At 40.0% G+C, this 19,627-nt stretch overlaps 1 protein-coding gene across 12 annotated transcripts in view, besides 1 other annotated feature; it reads left to right on the top strand.

Annotated features, from left to right (window-relative positions):
- TM7SF3 (transmembrane 7 superfamily member 3) overlaps positions 1–16,179 on the top strand; it is a 42,806-nt gene extending 26,627 nt beyond the window's left edge. For 2 of the 12 annotated variants that reach the window (NM_016551.3, XM_017019463.3), the window contains exons 7-12: positions 4,899–4,985; positions 7,112–7,192; positions 7,822–7,974; positions 11,401–11,498; positions 12,100–12,262; positions 13,531–16,179. In NM_016551.3, coding sequence (NP_057635.1) covers positions 4,899–4,985; positions 7,112–7,192; positions 7,822–7,974; positions 11,401–11,498; positions 12,100–12,262; positions 13,531–13,793 — 845 coding nt within the window. In that variant the 3' untranslated portion in view covers positions 13,794–16,179. Of the gene's footprint in view, positions 1–4,161; positions 4,266–4,898; positions 4,986–7,111; positions 7,193–7,821; positions 7,975–11,400; positions 11,499–12,099; positions 12,263–13,530 lie in introns of those variants that run through there. The other 10 variants (XM_005253391.5, XM_047428990.1, XM_047428997.1 and 7 more) reach the window with 8 other exon arrangements.
- Positions 15,682–15,741: a silencer, noted in NCBI's record as "silent region_4307". NCBI's record gives its function as "represses an Ori minimal core promoter by ATAC-STARR-seq in GM12878 lymphoblastoid cells {active_cell/tissue: GM12878}" and the evidence as "EXISTENCE:reporter gene assay evidence [ECO:0000049][PMID:35858748]".
- Positions 16,180–19,627: the final 3,448 nt, after the last annotated feature.

The following is a 19,627-nucleotide window of genomic DNA, read 5'->3' as shown; positions in this document are numbered from 1 at the left end:
ATATCCCATTCTCAAACTCTCACTTGCTAGTTTTGGCATCCAGTGATCTTTGCCTGAAACATTTATTACTAGGTGGTTGCCAAATGGTGTTTCTCTAATGTATCACTCCTTCTATGTTTATTTGTTGCCATCCTGCTCTGAGGAAGGGTTTTCCCTCCCCTGCCATTTATTTATCCATGTATTTATTTTAAACCTGGACCTGTAGATTCCTATTTTATTCTCTGGATGAAATCCTTTACTATCATTTATTTTCATGTTCAAATTGTTCCAGATTTGGCTCATGAGTGGCTGGATATGTTTGGAGTACAGTGTACTGATGGATTGGATGAGGGGTTTGAGAGAAAGAGGTGTAAAGGACTTTGTAGTTTTTGGCCTGAGCAACTGGAGAGAGAGAGCGACCATTCGCTGAGGTGGGAAGCACTGTTGGAGGAGAAGGTTGGGAGGATACATTAAGAGTTCAGTTTTGGACAAGTTCAGTTTGAGAACCCTATTGAGCATTTATGTGCAGATGTTTAACTGATGGTTGATTATATATATAAGCCTGGAATTCAGAGGAAAGTCTTAGCTGGAGAGCATCTTGGAAATCTTCAGACTGAATATATGGCATTTAAGGCCTCATGCTAAATGGTGTTATCTATAAAGGGGAGGCAGAGGTGGAAGGGGAGGTGGGAGAGGCAGGCACACTCAGTGTGACTTAGAGAAAAGGGAGGGGTCTGAGGACTGAGCCCTGGGTGCTCCAATGTTTAGAGCTTAGGAAATTGAAGATCCTACCAATGGGCTGAGAAGCTGCAGCCAGATTGGTAAAAGGAAAGTGATGTATGTTGAAGCCAAGGGGAGACAGTATTGCATGGAAGAGAGAGTAATCAACTTTGGCAGATGCTGCTGATAGGTCAGCTAAGAAAGAGACTGAAAATGACCCTTGGATTTAGCAACATGGAGGCCATTGGTACCAGTGAGAGCTGTTGCAGTGGAGAGGTGGGGTAGGCGCCTGACTGGAGCATATTCAAGAACAAATAGGAGCTGGGAGCACAGAAACTGGAGAAAGTTCAAGTAGCTCTTTCAAGGAGCTTTGCTCTAAAGAAGAAAGTCTATTAGTTGTGTTCAAGCGAGAGATTATGGTTCTCTACCTCTGCTAGAGCCGTATCCCGCTGTTAAAGAAAAAAAAAATCAGTGACACTAGTTAAAGCACAGTGAGGAAGATTTTATTCAAGGTGGGGGGTAGTATTACAATAGGCATAGGGACCACTGTGATGGAATTTTGCAGTGGGGAAGAGAGATTGGGCCCAACTCTTGAGTACAACATGGGCTACTGGGAATTTGTAGCCAAGCAGTAGGGTGGGAGTCAGTGGATGGAAAATTTCTAAGAGGAAACATGAGGGGCAAGGGGGCATTCTGTCTGCACTGACCTAAGGGGATTCTTACTGAAGACAGACCAGGGTGGTCAGACATCACCTGGGGGATGGATGGTGGAGGATGAAGAACTCGATTAGATATCGAGGGTGATTTGATATCAAGCATAGGGGATTCTTGCTAAGCTGACTTATCAGAGTTCTTGCTGAAGCTGGATTTTACAAAGATGTGCGCAGATGGGCCTAGGAGGGGGTTCAGGAGACTGAAATTTGGCCAAGCAGGCCGGGTGCGGTGGCTCACGCCTGTAATCCCAGCACTTTGGGAGGCCAAGGCGGGCGGATCACGAGGTCAGGAGATCGAGACCATCCTGGCTAACACAGTGAAACCCCGTCTCTACTAAAAAAAAAAACAATACAAAACATTAGCCGGGCATGGTGGTGGGCGCCTGTAGTCCCAGCTACTAGGGAGGCTGAGGCAGAGGCAGGAGAATGGTGTGAACCCGGGAGGCGGAGCTGGCAGTGAGCCAAGATCGCGCCACTGCACTCTAGCCTGGGCGGCAGAGCGAGACTCTGTCTCAAAAAAAAAAAAAAAAAAAAAAAAACGAAAAAGAAATTTGGCCAAGCAAAGGCTCTTTGTCACCACTCAGTCTTCCACTCAAGACAATCTTCCACTCAAGATCCTTGAGGGATACAATGCAAGAGACCTTGGCAGATATGTTTGTGTGTGTGTATATATATATATATATATATATATATTTTTTTTTTTTTTTTTTTTTTTTTTTTTTTTGACAGTCTCACTCTTGTCACCCAGGCTGGAGTGCAGTGGCATGATCTCAGCTCACTGCAACCACTGCCTCTCAGGTTCAAGTAATTCACGTACCTCAGCCTCCAGAGTATCTGGGATTATAGGCGTGTACCACCACACCCTGCTAATTTTTGTATTTTTAGTAGAGACCTGACCAACCATGTTGGCCAGGTTGGTCTTGAACTCCTGACCTCAGGTGATATGCCCGCCTCGGCCTCCCAAAGTCCTACAGGTGTGCGCCACCTTGCCTGACTAATTTTTGTATTTTTAGTTGAGATGGGGTTTCACCATATTGGCCAGGCTGGTCTTGAACTCCTGGCCTCAAGTGATCCACCCGCCTCAGCCTCCCAAAGTGCTGGGATTACAGGCGTGAGCCACTGCGCCTGGCCATATATTTTTAACCGATGGACTGAAGTATGTCTGGGTTCCTCCATTTCTTTCCCTTGAACCCTTCATGCAAAAGCCCCTTCTAAATAGAAAGGCCCCCAGGCCTGTCTCTCTCTGTTAGGCTTAGGAGACAGAGAGCTCTGATCCAGTTGTTCTTCCCGCCCAAAGTTGAACCTTCCTAGTGATGTTAGTTCTATTGTTACTCTCATTTTCAAGATTGATGAGTATTAGAGTGCTTTTCCTGAGCTTGGAGTAGGGAGACTATATCCATATTGCCTCCTAACTAAAACCTTGCCCTGTGGTTCATAACCCTTAGCAATACTGTCATAGTTAAAGACACTTTAACCTTCAACTTGCTCCTGTCCTAGTCTATTCACTCCTTTCATTCCCCCAGAGTGAATGCCTGTTTTATGTCTTGTTTTATCGTAGATTCTGCTTTTGATGGAACCTTCCATACCCTCTCATTTTACTTGTATAATTGTTTCTCTCCCTCCTTCCTGGTATTGTGATAGGGGATTTAGTTCCCCTCTAATGTTATGGAAGAGTATCTAACTGTGTCTTAGTTTTTATTGGGTTGGAAGACCTTGCTGTCTTGGTGATTATACTTGCTGAAAAGTTCACGGGATTTTCATTTGAGAAAATCATCCCAGCAAATTTAATGGTTTTGGTGTAAAAATTAAATTCTAGAATGATAGTCAACCACAGGTCTGAAATAAACAATGTGGTGTTTTTATCTTTCGTTTAATCTTTCTGGGTTTTTTTTTTTTGTTTTTCGTTTTTTGTTTTTGAGATGGAGTCTGGCTGCGACATCCAGGCTGGAGTGCAATGGCCTGATCCTTGGCTCACTGCAACCTCTGCTTCCTGGGTTCAAGCAATTCTCCTGCCTCAGCCTCTGGAGTAGCTGGGACTACAGGCATGTGCCACCAGGCCTGGCTAATTTTTGTATTTTTAGTAGACGGGGTTCTCACCATGTTGGCCAGGCTCATCTCAAACTCCTGACCTCAAGTGATCCGCCCACCTCGGCCTCCCAAAGTGCTGGGATTATAGGCGTGAGCCACTGCACCCGGCTGTTGTTTAATCTTTCTTATGGGCTCCTTATTCTCAGAAAAGCTGATATTTAGGTATTATATCCCCTGTGAATTCTGCTCTTCTGTCTGTGTTTCTTATTTTACTGTATGTCTTCATGGTTTCTCCATTCTGAGCACTCTTAGGCATTTTATGTATTTTGATTTGTGGCAGCCTTGTTTTATTTTAGCATGAGATTGTATAGATGTCTTGTTTTGGGTTTTAGTTCAGGGATTATTTTCTTGGGTTTATCTCATGATGGTGGGTGATGAATTTAGTGAGCATATTTTTCTCTTCAGTAAACTAAATGATACCGTGCTTCATCATTGGTTGTAATGCAACATTTTTCTCCAAGGCAATATGTATAATTGATAAGACTGGTAGTAATTTGTGTATGTGTAATAAATATTATAATAAATAACTTATAAGTGTAATACATGTTTTTAAATTGTGAGTTTCGGTTTAAATTTTTTATTGTGAAAAACTTCAGCGAGCCTCCATACACCAATTATCCAGCCTTAACAATTTTGATTTATGGCCATTATCTTGTTTCAGCTGTGCTGTACCTGCTTCTCTGCCTCTCCACCTCATCACCCTCCTTTATCACTGGATTATTTTAAAGCAAATCCCTGGTCATCATGTTACTCACAAATATTTCAGTATGTATACCTTAAAGATAAGCACTTAAAAAATAGAACCACCGTGTCATTAACATAATTTTCATTTTAAAATATTGAAAATATTTCTTTAATAGCATCAAATTAACAGCCAGAGTTTGCTTCTGGAGTCATCTCAATTGTTTTCCACAGTTTGTTTGAATCAGGTTGCAGATGAGATCTATACACAGTATTTAGTTGATGTGTCTTTTAAATCTCTTTTAACCTGTATTCTCCCTCCACCCACCCCCACCACCTCCCCCCCACTCCCTGCCACCTTTTGTCCATGCAGTTTATTTGTTGAAGAAACAGGATTATTTGTTTTAGGAACACTCTCTCTCTGTTTCTCTCCACTTTACCCAGGAATATGTCATAGGAAGTGTTCCATACCGCTATCAGCAAGCATATATTGTCTGGATTCTCTTTTTGTTATAGCAGCAGTTGTTGATATTGATTGTCTACATAGGTTCATTCATTAGGGGTGGCAAGAGTATTTTAAAGATAAATTTGTAATATACATGTATGGGATAAATTATGTCAGTTCACTTAGCTTTTTTGATGAAGGTTCGTTCTATAAATATTAATACAAAGTATCAAATTGGATGTATTATCCACTAAATTTTCATTATTTTTTAGGAAGAGTGTCTTCCAAAGTGTTCTTCACTCTTTTTGCCCTGCTTGGTTTCTTCATTTGTTTCTTTGGACACAGATTCTGGAAAACAGGTATTATGTCCAATGTAGTTGCTATTTCCATTTTGCAGTCTTTTCAGTGTTGCTGGGGAATGACCTGTGAGGAGAGTAAGCACTTACTTATCTCTACTATCTTCATAGATTTGTAGCTGGGGTCTTGTAGTCGTGAGTCTACTGAGTTGCAATGCATTTTTATTTTTTTCTATTCTCCCTACAGCGGAGTATAACCTTCTCTTATTAACAGGGGAATACAATTATGCAGTGAATTTTATCAGCTGCTAGATCTGTTAGTTGACTAAAGATAACCGAGATTAGACATTGGTTGTCAGGGCCGGGCTCAGTGGCTCATGCCTGTAATCCCAGCACTTTGGGAAGCTGAGGTGAGAGGACTGTGTGAGGCCAGGAGTTTGAAACAAGTCTAGGCAACATAGTGAGATCCCTTCTCTACCAAAAAATTAAAGACAAATTGGGGCTGTGTGTGGTGGCTCACACCTGTAATCCCAGCACTTTGGGAGGCTGAGGCAGGCAGACTGCTTGAGCTCAGGAGTTTGAGACCAACCTGGGTAACTCGGTGAGACCCTGTTTCTCCAAAAAATACAAAAAATTAGCCAGGCTTGATGGTGTGTGCCTGTAGTCCCAGCTACATGGGGAGGCTGAGGTGGGAGGATTGCTTGAGCCCGGGAGGCAGAGGTTGCAGTGAGCCAAGATTGTGCCACTGCACTCCAGCCTGGATGACAGAGTAAGATCCTGTCTCAAGAAAAAAAAAAAAGAAGTTGGTTGTCTTTGTAAAAATATGTGTGGATATTGGTGATGGCGATTGACTTGGTTTCACATGAATCAGGCTATGGGGCTGCAGTGTACAGTGAGTTTGAAATGTCTGCTCAGTCCTGAGAGATTCAGATGCCAAAGGGAATGCCAGCATCAACATCAGTGAAACACACTGAAGAACTGGGATGTAAATCATGCTCACTGAATTGGTTTGAATTATTTGGGCTGCTTTTTATATAAGTGATGTTTTCGATTATTAAAAAATCCTTATTTAATCAACAAGTTGTATAACTGAGCATCAAGGTAGCTCAAATGTAATCCTGATCTAATAAAGCTCTTTAAACTTATGTTAAATTGTTTGAAATAGCAACTCCTTTCCTGCTATTATGACACTTTTTTTATTAATTGGGAAGAGAGTATTGTAAAGAATATATAATATCTCAACATGTAGAATGATTCTGTAACAAAGAACTTAGTTGCTAAGCTGTGGTCTCAAAGTTATCACTAGCTTTTTTTTTTTCTTTTTAAAGAGATGGAGTCTCACTGTGTCTCCTAGGCTGGAGTGCAGTGTAGTGGCTGTTCACAGGTACAATTATAGTGCACTACAGCCTCACATTCCTAGCCTCAAGTGATCCTCCCACCTCAGCCTCCCAAGTAGCTGAGACTACAGGCACAAGCCACCATGCCTCACTCTGGGTTTTTTTGGTGTGTTGATATGTATCATTTTATATTTATTGAAATTGAGATACAGTACAAGTATTACCAAGAACAGCTGTGAAGAATTTAAGAAAATAGGTAGAGCTATGGCCTCCATGATCAGGATTAGGCTTATTTGTGGGAACAAAGTTATCTGTATACTTGCATTACCAGGTGTTTTAATGGATGAAGGTAATGATTGATCATTCTAAACAGGATAGGATGAATTAAAAGAAGATATAAAAGTTATATTTTGCTTTGGGACAGTTTGGGTTTCTTTTACCTTTTACATTTTATTTCTGCTTACAAAACTATTAAAATTTAATGTGTAATTTCGTATCACATACACGTGACAAAGTGCTATTCTTATTTTAAGCAGAAAACATAAATATATTAAAATGAGCTATGAAATGAACAAATAACAATTTAACAATGGAAACTGACCTATATACAAGAAAGTGTATCCTGTAGTTGGTACTTTAATATTGTATCTGTTTAATAATAATTACTCCCATGGCTGCTGAATTTCTTCTGCCTTTTAGATTTTTTTTTTCTTCTGAATGCTGTAACATGTAAATTCCAGGAGCTTAAGCATGTATTTGTAGATTAAATATTTAAATTGCACTGTAAAAAGGGTGCTTAACCATAGCTTTTGTTGTTTTGCTTTTTTCCTTTCCTGGTGGTTTGCCACTTAGAATTATTCTTCATAGGCTTTATCATCATGGGATTCTTCTTTTATATACTGATTACAAGACTGACACCTATCAAGTATGATGGTAAGTGAAAATTATATAGTTTAACTGGGTATTCAAGAAGGCAGGTGCTGTGTTTTACTTCACCTTTCCTTCTACAGTTTGGCCTATATTGTGTGTGACAGCCTATTACTTATGTAAAATAATGGTCCATCTAGTCTCTGAACACCTTTTCTGAACTACTCATTCAGACCTTCTGGGTTTTTAATCTGTATGGTGAATTCCTTGGTACTTAGGGAAAGGAGGGGCCATATTGATTATAGACCTGTGTTCTGGCTATGTGATATGTTGAAGATATGAGATGTACAACAAGCAAAATGTTGAGGTTTTCTTTACCTGAAAACAGATACCTCCCTACCCCATTATGTTTAACAGAATGCTTGTCAACTTTTCCTTCTCAATCCCAATTTATTGACAAGCCAAGCCTGTCACTGGCCCTGTGAGGTTTAGCTCCCTAGCTAATTTCCTTGTCTCAGCCCAGACCCCTCCCTAGAGAGGGTTGCTCTATGCTGGCTTCATGGCACCACTGAAGAGCCCTCAGTGCCTGACCTACAGAAAGCTGAAGCTGGCACTGGTAACGGTATTGTATGTCTAAGGCACGCGGTTGGAAGTACTGCCGGTTATCCAGCAGTTCATCCTCTCTCTTTGTACAGTGAATCTGATTCTGACAGCTGTCACTGGAAGCGTCGGTGGAATGTTCTTGGTAGCTGTGTGGTGGCGATTTGGAATCCTCTCGATCTGCATGCTCTGTGTTGGACTAGTGCTGGGGTTCCTCATCTCGTCAGTGACTTTCTTTACTCCACTGGGTAGGCGATATGTAACAGATGTTTTGTGTGTTCGAGTGACTGTTTGAATACTGCCTAATTGGATTTGCATCCTGGAGTGGTGTTGCATGTCAGTGCTTCTCCTGTGGAGTTCTGGAAATCTGCATTGATGGTGTGACACTTTCAGACAGCACCAGGACTAGTAAAAGTCCCTCCTTCCTCAAAGGCACAGTAGATGAAATATAGAATGTCTTTAGAGGTAGCTTTGTATCTATTTGTTGTGATAAGTGGTATGTGTTTATTAGAAATAATGGAGGTAAAGGAAATAAGGAGGTAAAGGCTCTGATGGCAGCTGAGTCGGGGAACCTGGTACTTTGTTTCTGGTCTTCTGTTGTACCCTCAACCTCCACTCCCATCCGCTGCCAAACCCCAGGTGTCCCTCAGGTACTTAATCACCCTGGGGCAGTAGCACAGGGCTGGTTCTGGGGTTTTTTTGGTGTTTTTAAAAAGTAATTCAATTGCTATCAGTTTTTAAAATCTGGTTAACTTATAAGTTAACTTTCTTTGCCATTGTTTAATAACTTACATTTCCTGATTATTGTCAAAAACAAACAAAAACAGCATCTGTACTCAAAAGTATTCTATTTGGTTGTTTCCTTTCTGTGACAATGTTCTTAAAATACTAGAATAAAGTTGATGGGACTGTTAGACATAAAAATAGCCATTTCATGAGGCTGTCAACTCTATAGAGAATGCAGGATATAATAGAGTACAAGTCATGTGTCCCTTGTCTCTCTGAAGACTTTTTTTTTCTAAGACTACTGGATAGTCTGATGAAAAGCAGTGTTGTGTAGGCTTGGCGAAATGACAGATTCACATGGGGATGTTTTTGAAATACAGATTCAAGGCTCTACCCTACATGTGCTAAATAAAATACTTCCTAATGGCTGAGCATGGTGGCTCATGCCTATAATCCCAGCACTTTGGGAGACCAAGTGGGAGGATTGCTTGAGCTCAAGTTTGAGACCAGCCTGGGCAACATAGTGATTCCCCATCTCTACTGAAAAAAAAAAAAAAAAAATTAGCCAGGTGTTGTAGTGCACACCTGTGGTCTCAGCTACTCTGGGAGGCTGAGGCTAGAGGATTGCTTGAACCCGGGAGGTTGAGGCTGCAGTGAGCTATGATGGTGCCATTGCACTCCAGCCTGGGCGACTGAACAAGACCCTGTCTCAAAAACAAAACAAAAAGACCACAAAAACCAACTACTACTTAATGGGCTTCCCCTCTTTTGTTAATGCTTAGAGGATGGAGGGATGATAGGTTATAATTTCTAGTAATTTAATGTACTTTTCATGAGGAGAATGAGCATAAATTATAAAGTCAGGAAAAAACCTTCTATATGCATTCTGGCTCTGTCACTAGTTCCCTTTCTAGCTTATAACCTTGGACGATGTATTGAAACTTTGTTCCATCATCTGTGAAACTATCTCATAGGATAGATGTGAGGAATGAGAAAACAGAAATAAAGAGGTCTCTTAATTTTCAACTTTATAAAGTAGTCTAGAGCAGTTGTCTCTAAACTTTTTGACATAACTATTCCTATTGGTAAAAATAATTTTAGCATATACCCTTTATATATGTTTGTTTATGAACTATCTCATAGCTCAAGGACCGTTAGAGTGATCATCTCCTCAATGCTAGTGGGTGCAAACCCATATTTTTATTTTTTAGAGACAGGATCTCTTTCTGTCACCCATGCTGGACTGCAGTGACACTATCATAGCTCACTGCAACCTCAAACTCTAAGGCTCAAGCCATCCTCTTACATCAGCCTCCCAAGTAGCTGGGACTACAGGTGTGTGCTGCCATGCCTGGTAAGCTTTTATTTTTAGTAGAGACAGAGTCTCACTGTTGCCTAGGGTGGTCTTAAACTGGGCTCAGGCAGTCCTCCCACCTCGGCCTCCCAAAGTGTTGGGATTACAGGCTTGAGCCACTGCACCTGGCCTACCTATATATGTATACACACACACACATACACACACACACACACACACACACATTATTTTTTTCCTGAGACGGAGTCTCACTCTGTCTCCCAGGCTAGAGTGCAGTCGCGCAGTCTCAGTTCACTGCAACCTCCACCTCCCGAGTTCAAGTGATTTTCCTGCCTCAGCCTCCTGAGTAGCTGGGATTATAGGCACACACTACCATGCTCAGCTCATTTTTATATTTTTAGTAGAGATGGGGTTTCTCCATATTGGCCAGGCTGGTCTCAAACTCCTGACCTCAAGTGATCTGTTCACCTCGGCCTCCCAAAGTGTTGGGATTACAGGCGTGAGCCACCATGCCCGGCCAAGAGGCCTACCCATATTTTTAAGCATTAGCATTTAAAAAATATTTGGCTGACCACTACAATCTGATTAGATTGCTAGTTTTCACCTTATGTGGGAAGCAATGAGCTTATTCTCTGAAAGGGTCCGTTCTTCACATGCATGCATCGTAACTATTTTCAATACTTAGATTTCTTGAAAGCCTTTTACAAGAAAGCCACATATGTATTTTGTGAAGGTTAATATAGTTAAACTAGAGAATAGAATCTATAAGTTCACCTCAATGGCATATTGCTGTTGGCTTCAGAGAATATGGAGTCTCAAGGTCCAGTCCTGTAGCCTAGGGACTCCCAGTCTTCCACTCTGACCTGGATATGTAGGTCTTGAGGTATGGGGCCATTTACAGATGGACTGAATGGTGGTGCCAGTGTCAGTATTAAACAGCAGTCAGCCTATTCTTGCTTTTTAAACTTAATTTATAAAGAGGAGTTCTCATATATTTGTTCTGGGTCGGCCTAAGTTGTGCAGCATTTTAGAGTCCAGCAGCAGGAGAAGGGTTTGGGAAGAGCAGATAGTTGGTTGGTTCCTCTTTCCTGATACATGAGGAAATCACATGTCACAGTGTGCAGTGGCATGACAGGACATGCTTTGACGGTAAAAATCTGTTAAGTGGACTCACTGTTTACATTGGGTTCATGGCTTAACTTTGAATGCCTTTTACTTGTATTTTTTATTTTGCAGTATGAAATCATGAAGTCAGCAATGTAGAGCTAACAGGTGATTTAGAGCTTGGAGATATAATTCAATGTCATTTTGAGGGTTAGGAAACTGAGGCTCAAGTTCACAGAGCTAGTGAATGGAAGAGCTTGGACTATTCCAGTGTCTTCTAAATGATTTTGTTAATAAGTGCAGAGCGTTGACCTGCTTGGTTCCTCCCACCCACCTTCTAGAACACATCCTTCAAAGAAGATTGTATTGACAGTTAAATGAAGAAAATTAGAATTCATTTCTAGTTGCCAACATATTCCCTGGTTGTTACTTTAAGGCTTTGATGTATATCTGTGTTCAGATGTTCCAAGAAACCAACTCTAACTTGGTAAAGCTGTTGTTTACTCTTAGTTTCTTTTTGCTTTTTCAGGAAACCTAAAGATTTTTCATGATGATGGTGTATTCTGGGTCACTTTCTCTTGCATAGCTATCCTCATTCCAGTAGTTTTCATGGGCTGCCTAAGAATAGTAAGTGTTTCATCAAAAGTTAGATTTATTGATTATGTTATCCTGTGTGTTCAGCTGATCACTTATTTCATCATTTTGCATGTTTTATTCACTGGGGAGGGCTGTGTTACCTGTATCAGATGACTGATTCTAAATAGCCTTGTTACTGTGAAAACGAAGTTCTATTTATGATTACCACATGGTGTTTGTTTTTTTCTTTTTTTTCCACCAAATGGAGCATCACAGTCAATATGCTTTTAACAGTGGGAGCAGAGAAGGTAGTGCTTACTCTAGTACACCAACCTGATGGGTCATTAGTTTCAACTGGCTTCAGAAGAGTGATTCTTCCTCTAATTAGATTTTATTGTTGAAGTTCCTTCATATGGAAGATATTTTCCATAGTATTTGGATAAGCTGAACTGTGTTTTAAGAACTCATATGGATGTTGAAGGTTGTTTTCAGTTTATCTTTCCAGGGAACTTCTGTTCAGCTCTGAGTGGGTCTGGTCCTTTTTCATGCCTGAGGGAGCAGATGTGATTGCCTGTGATTGAAGCCAGTGGAGAGTTATAAACTATTTTTGTTCTAACATGGATGATGCCTAAACTCTTCCACTCTTCCACAGCTGAACATACTGACTTGTGGAGTCATTGGCTCCTATTCGGTGGTTTTAGCCATTGACAGTTACTGGTCCACAAGCCTTTCCTACATCACTTTGAACGTACTCAAGAGAGCGCTCAACAAGGATTTCCACAGAGCTTTCACAAATGTGCCTTTTCAAACTAATGGTAAGACTCTTAAATCCAAAAACCAGTGTGACAGCACAGTAGGAGTCTTGACCCACCTATGCTAACCAGAGCACTTGGAAACTAAATTTAAAGAAAGTCAACTGGGACAAAAGGAGGGAACACAGCATACAATGCTGTGAGAACCCTCTGTTATGATAACTCAGGATCATGGGAGTAAAGCATTTAAAATTTTAAGATGAAGATAAAAATCTACTAAATGAATTTCATTAAGAAATTTCCAAGATTATTTAGGTTTACCTGGTCATTCTCAGAGGGGAGAAAAATACTGACAGTAAAGATGTTTGAGACTTATGGGTGGGGATGGAATAAGGGATGAGAATGACAACCTGATTTAATGTTAAGTTATTCCCTTGTTTCCCTCCTTTAATGAAGCATGCAGTTTGCTAGTTGAAAGAGTTTTTAATTAGTAAGCATATAGTTTCCCTCACTTGTAAGATTCTATCCATTACAGATTTTCTATAAATTTTTTGAAGAAAAAAATGACTACCACATGAATTGTTCAGATTGTAAGATATGTTGACTTCAGAAATGTTGACATGTGGAGAGTGAAAAAGCATGTCCTAGAATTGAAGATATATTGCATAAGCACAATTGTGATTGTTGTGATTTTATTTTAGGGCAAATCTTTCCCTTTACTATCCAGAGCTTTCCCTTTGGATAAGAGGTTGATGGTAGAGACCTTGAAATCCTTGAAAACCTTAAAACTCTTGCAAGTTTTAAGTACCAGACAGTGTTTTGCCAAGCTAGAAGCTTTACTAGAAGCTGAGTACGATTGGTTGAATCTTTTCATGCATTCCTATACCTACACTGTGAGTGCAGTAGGGCCCCATGTAGAGTGGAATGGGAAAGAAATGAGCGTGGTGGAATCTGATGTTCCATGATGTACATATGTGAAGTGTAACTAGATCACTGCCTTCCTCCCCGAACCCCCTCTGAAAAAACACACAAACAACTGTGGGTACTTGTTACATAATGTTGGAAGGCCAAGGATCCAAACAACTGATTTTTTTACAACCTGTCTGGACTTTCAAATGCCTGTAATAGAAAATTCCTAGTTTCAAAAATAAGACTGTGGCTTCCCTACTGATTCCTTGGTTTGTAACTGAGGAACTACATATGTGTTTGGACTAACTCACCAGAAAGTCTATTAGAAAGGAATATACAGATTTAGTCCATGAAGGGTTGTATTATTATGTTAGATTTTAAAATACTAGAGTTCAAACTGTACTTTTTCTACTGTTTTTTAGACTTCATTATCCTGGCAGTATGGGGCATGCTGGCTGTAAGTGGAATTACGTTACAGATTCGAAGAGAGAGAGGACGACCGTTCTTCCCTCCCCACCCATACAAGTTATGGAAGCAAGAGAGAGAGCGCCGAGTGACAAACATTCTGGACCCTAGCTACCACATTCCTCCATTGAGAGAGAGGCTCTATGGCCGATTAACCCAGATTAAAGGGCTCTTCCAGAAGGAGCAGCCAGCTGGAGAGAGAACGCCTTTGCTTCTGTAGATGCCCAGGGGCTTGGTCAGTGTGCCTCAGCTTTGGAGTTCATGCCTGGAGTGGTTCAACAGTCTCTGGTGCAAGTCTAATAAGAGATCAGGCATATATATCTGTTCTTTGCATAATATTATGGTGCCCTTATTGATATATGGTAAGGGTGTACTAGGGGATTAGGATGATTGTAAGAGAATGAGAAAGATGACCAAAAGGTTGGTGGTAGGGAGGCTTTTTCTTATTTCCAAATACTTGAGAAATTACCTTTTGGTTTACAAATCTATGATCAACTTATTCCATTAAATAGATACATTAAAAAAATTAAAAACTGATTCTTCTGCAGAGCACTGGTGTTTCTTTTTATAACCCCTTGAAACAAGTCTCTCACCTGAGCCTGTCTAAACTTTCGGAGGGAGTTTATTATTGAGTCTTTATCTGTGACAGTATTTGGAGATTTAGGGATTTGATACTTAGGCCTTTGAATTTTAGAATACAAAAAGAGAAGCAAGCCAGACATGGTGGCTCACACCTGTAATCCCAATACTGGGAAGCCAAGGTGGGAGTATCGCTTGAGCCCAGGAGTTTGAGACCGACATGGGCAACATGACAAGACCCCATCTCTACAAAAAAATTAAAAAATTAGCCAGGCATGGTGGCACATGCCTACTCCCAGCTCCCAAGGAGACTGAGATGGGAGGATCCCTGGAGCCCTGAAGATTGAGGCTACAGTGAGCCTTGATTGTGTCACTGCACTCCAGCTTGGGTGACAGAGACCCTGTCTCGAGAAATTAAAAAAAAAAAAAACTTATTTTCTTACTAAAAGCAGTCTGATTACTTAGTTGCATGCCCTTCTTAGTATCATACATTATCCAAAAGTTACCCTTTGTTTTTTTTTCAGTATTTTTTAAAATTTTTAAGTTGTGATAAAATACACATGAAATTTACCTTCTTATTCATGTTTAAGTGTACAATTCAGTAGGTTCCCTTTGTTTTTGCCTTTTATTGCTTAAAATGGTAATTGAAATAGCTAAATTATTATTTGAAAATAGGCCAATTTATATAGATAATAGAATTTTATAAGGGTGATTTATATTCCAAATAATGGCCCCCTTTTTTTTTTCAAGGCCTTTTCAAATAGTGTCAACAGGTGATCTTTAATTTAACTGCATTAGATGACATATGGATTACTTTTGTTTTTAGGAAATAACCCCCACCTTAATCTATATTGCCGACCAGGTGCGGTGGCTCAAACCTGTAATCCCAGCATTTTGGGAGGTCGAGGCGGGTGGATCACCTGGGGTCAGGAGTTCGAGACCAGCCTGGCCAACATAGTGGTCTCTACTATAGTATAGTAGAATATATACTACTACACCCTGTCTCTACTAAAAATACAAAAATTAGCTGGGTATTGTGGCAGGTGCCTGTAATCCCAGCTACTCGGGAGGCTGAGGCAGGAGAATCGCTTGAACCCAGGAGGCAGAGGTTGCAGTGAGCCAAGATCACGCCACTGCACTCCACCCTGGGCAACAGAGCGAGACTCCGTCTCAAAAAAAAAAAAAGTCTGTATTGCCATTAATAAGAAAACCTTAGAAAAATTTGTACTTCATAGTTCTTTCTGCTCAATTAGCTGTTAGCATTAGTGTAAAATATAGTTTTTAATAATTTCTGTACAAAGCCTTTGTACAGAAAGGCTTCATCCTTAAAGTGATGAGAATGGAGTCAAAAAGGATTCAGGTGTTTAGAGGAGCTGCTTTTCATTAGGACCTTGGAGAGTCCCCTCAGTTTTGACACCCTTGTTTCACCACAAGAAAGCACCCGACACCCTGGGTTGCATACTTACTACTCAGGGGCTTTCCCCCCAGCTTTCAGAGCACTGAATTATTGTGAGCTGGTGACTCTGCAGGCCTGAGTGGTATTAGGGTTGTGGAATGTTGTTGCATACACGTTTATGAGTTAACCACTATTTAAATGATGCTGCTTTTTAAAGTTTTTTCAAAGTACAATAGATTTTTGAAGTTTCAGGTAACTGGAAAAATATTTAACTTTTGCTTTAAGTGTTTGGGGCAGGATAAAACAACATAGAAAATATAAAACAATTTTTGCTTTGAAAAATACAGTGCAGGTGACCATTTACTGCTTATTCTGTAATCCTTACTGTCTATAATTAACTTCAGTAACACTGAAACTTGATGAAAAGTTTTAAAAAATTATTTACTGTAGGGACAAAGTTATATGGAATGTTTGTTATTTTCTATACTATCTGAATGCACTGCCAGTGAAGACTGTAAAGACAGAACACACTATTTTGGAGGGAGGATACTAATTGTTTAAAATTTTTCATCATTTGTGAGTGATAAAAAGTTTGTATAGTTTTTATAATAAATCCCTATTTTGAAAAAAATGCTAAAAAGCCTCATTAAATATTTTCATAAAATTTTTCAGATTATATTTGTACCACAGCAACAAGACATGACGAGTTTCATAGCTATAAAAGTTATTTAATATGGGCAAACAATATAGTTCTTCATTTTTAAAAAATCACAAAGATAATAACAGGAAATGAAATCTGGGGCAATGTGTTAAAAGACTAATTTGGTGTTATTAGCACTTCAGGTGTGTCAGACTAAAGAAAAGTAGTAGTTAACAGGAAACTCTGTTGAACTGTTCTTTAAAATGTTTTCAGAAAGTTCTGATTAATCTGTTATAGGTTAGCTACCAGGTTGCCAAACCATACTAGGTATATTGTACCACAGGCCAGTTGAGTTTTCTGTAGCAGGTGAAATAGAAAACTGATTCCAACAAAGAAATTGCTAGAATATTAAACCTTCAAAGGACTTCAGAGGTCATGTTCACTGACCTCTTTAATACCTGAGGAAATTCTTAAGTTAATGATATGAAGTCAGAGAGTTATCAACTAACAGTGCTCAGACCAAAACTGGGATGCCTGACTCCCTATCCAAATGTGCTTTACACTCATCATGATACAGATGTAAAACCAGGTATTTTCTATTTTCTTCTGCTAACGAATTGATAGGATGTTTCTAATATAAGTATTGCTACGATCGTTCTTTTTGAAAATTATTAATTTTACACAGTGAAAGCATGTTTTTCCAAGTTAATTATCTGAAGTAATGGACCATTTATTTCAAATGATTGGTACATAATATTTAACATTTCCAATATCCATATCTCCACAATAGAAACTTGGTCCGAAGTTCACTCCTAGGTGATGTACTTAATACCTGTTAGTAACATTCATTCAAACCCAGAGTTCTTGGTTCTAATTTCCTGAGAACAGGGCCTTGCCCTAGGGCACAGCCCCTCATTGCATCCCAGCCCTTGTTGGGAGGGCAGCTACCTATGGTTTGCTGATAGACTAAACTGTGCCCCCCAAACAAATTTATATGTTGAAGCCCTAACACCCGGTACCTCAGAATGTGACCTTATTTGGAGACGGGGCCTTTAAAGAGGTTTCAAATTAAATTGAGACTATTAGGGTGGGTCCTAATCCAGTCTGACCAGTGTCTTTGTAAGAAGGGGAGATTAGGACACAGAAACACCAGGTGCATGTGCTCACAGGGGAAAGACCGTGTGAAGAGCAGTAAGAGGGGAGCATCTGCAAGCAGAGGAAACCATCCCTGCTGCACCTTGATCATGGACTTCAGCCTCCAGAACTGTGAGAAATTATTTCTGTTGTTTAAGCCATTCAGTCAGTGGTATTCTGTTATGTCAAAAGAATACACATTACCCTGACTGTTGATTGAAATGCCTCTTGGCAATTTGGCCATTGTATTTGCAAGGACCACTCTTTATGAAATTGACACAAAGAGGGGCTTAAGTTAGTGGGAACTCTGGACTTACCCAGGGACTACCATGTAATCATTACACTGGAGAGGTTGGCAGGTCTGGATCAAGCTTAAGATTTTTTAAAAAATTGTTATACAGGAGTGGCGTGGTGGCTCACGCCTGTAATCCCAGCACTTTGAGAGGCCAAGGTGGGCAGATCACTTGAAGTCAGGAGTTCAAGACCAGCCTGGCCAACATGGTGAAACCCCGTCTCTACTAAAAAATAAAAATAACGAGCCGGGCATGATGGCACATACCTGTCAGCTACTTGGGAGGCTGAGGAGGAAGAATCACTTGAACCCGGGGGGCGGAGGCTGCAGTGAACTGAGATCGCACTATTGCACTCCAGCCTAGGCGACAAAGCAAGACACTGTCTCAAAAAAATAAAAATTATATATATATGATAGTGAGGCTTTGACTTAGATCTCACATTCACTCATTAAATATTTGTTGAGTTCCTGGCCAGGCATTGCCTTGAGCACTAGGAAGATGGAAAACACAGGCATGGTCTTTGCTGTCTGGGACTGGAGTGTGAGACAGATACTAAAATAGTTACACAAGATGTGTAATATGCAATGAAAATGTATAATGGGATAGGGCTAGAAAGTGGGATGCCAAGGAAGGAGTCCTTGAGGAAGTGACATTCCAGCTGAAACTTGGAGGTTGAGTAGGAGTAGCCAAAACCAAGTATGTCATGTGTAGGAAGGGGAGTATTATTAACAGAAGCCTCAAGGCCTCCCCTTCTCATTGTAGAGAGCTGTAAAACCAACACATGCCAATTGTAACCTTGGGTCTGCAACCTAAGTTTAACTCTTAAAACCAAGTTTTGTTAAATCTCACACTGACAATGCTGATAACAAGCTTATCTTCCCAGGTACAGAATAAGGATGAGACAAAATCAACCACTCTTCTGCCTACCCTGAAACAGATGAATAACTGAGTCTTTACTCCCTTTTTTCAGTTTATCTTATATGAAACATAGATTTACTGAGCGTTAATCAGAGCCTCACAAGAATGTAATCATTTGCCTCACTGCCTAACCCCTCTCCCTTTTCCCTCCTCACTCTCTCCCCTAAATAATGAGTTTCCAAAACCCTCTTTAGAAAGCTCAGGTCACAGATGCTCATGTGGCTTGCGTTTTTTCTCTGGCATGTCTTTAAACTTTGGCCCAATAAACCTCTACTGATTTAAGACACTTGCCTCAGTCACTTTTTTTGGTTAACAGGTTTTCTGATTCACAAGAAACTTATAATGACCTCTGGAAAGACAGAGGTTGTAGGAAGAGGTTTACTCTGAATTGTAAATTTTTTAGTATGCTAAGATTTTTAACAGTGTACATTTATTTTTTCATTTAAAAAATAACAAAACATGACCTAACAAACTTCTGGGAATTTGCACGCTAGAAATTACAATAAATAAAGTTATGTATATGGATGTTTACTGCATTATTTTGTATTAAACTTTGCAAACTATCCATCAGTTGGGGGAACTGATGAATAAATTACAACTCCATAATGGTAGCTACAAAAATGCTTGATTTACAGGCATCAGAAACTGACTGGCTAATGCAAACAGTACAATTAGCTGGAAGAATACTGATGCTGTTTGCTTCAGGACATTTCCCCGTATGCATCTGATTTTTACATATTTGTAATTATATGGGTAATTTATGTTAAGCTTTTTAATGCATATTTAGGTACTTTTTTCTTCTTGTTGCTAGCATCTTCAAGCCATAGACTGTAATCAACTGTATTGAGTGAATATTGACATTTAACTATTCCCCTACTGTAGGATATTTAGGTTGAATCCAATTTGTATACTTTAACACTACCATAATGTAGCTTTGACCAGGGGTAGCAGTGGAGGAGAGAAATGGTAGGATTCTGATTTATTTGGAAGGAAGAGCCAACAACAGGATTTGCTGATGAATAGGATGCACGATATGAGAAAGTGGAGTCAAAGTTGCCACCAAGGTTTTTGGCCTTAGCAACTGCAAGGATGGA

This window comes from Homo sapiens, chromosome 12 (genome assembly GCF_000001405.40).
Source record: "Homo sapiens chromosome 12, GRCh38.p14 Primary Assembly".
Classification (NCBI taxonomy): domain Eukaryota; kingdom Metazoa; phylum Chordata; class Mammalia; order Primates; family Hominidae; genus Homo; species Homo sapiens.
Note: the sequence above shows the minus strand (reverse complement) of the source record. Positions and strands in the feature narration are given on the sequence as shown.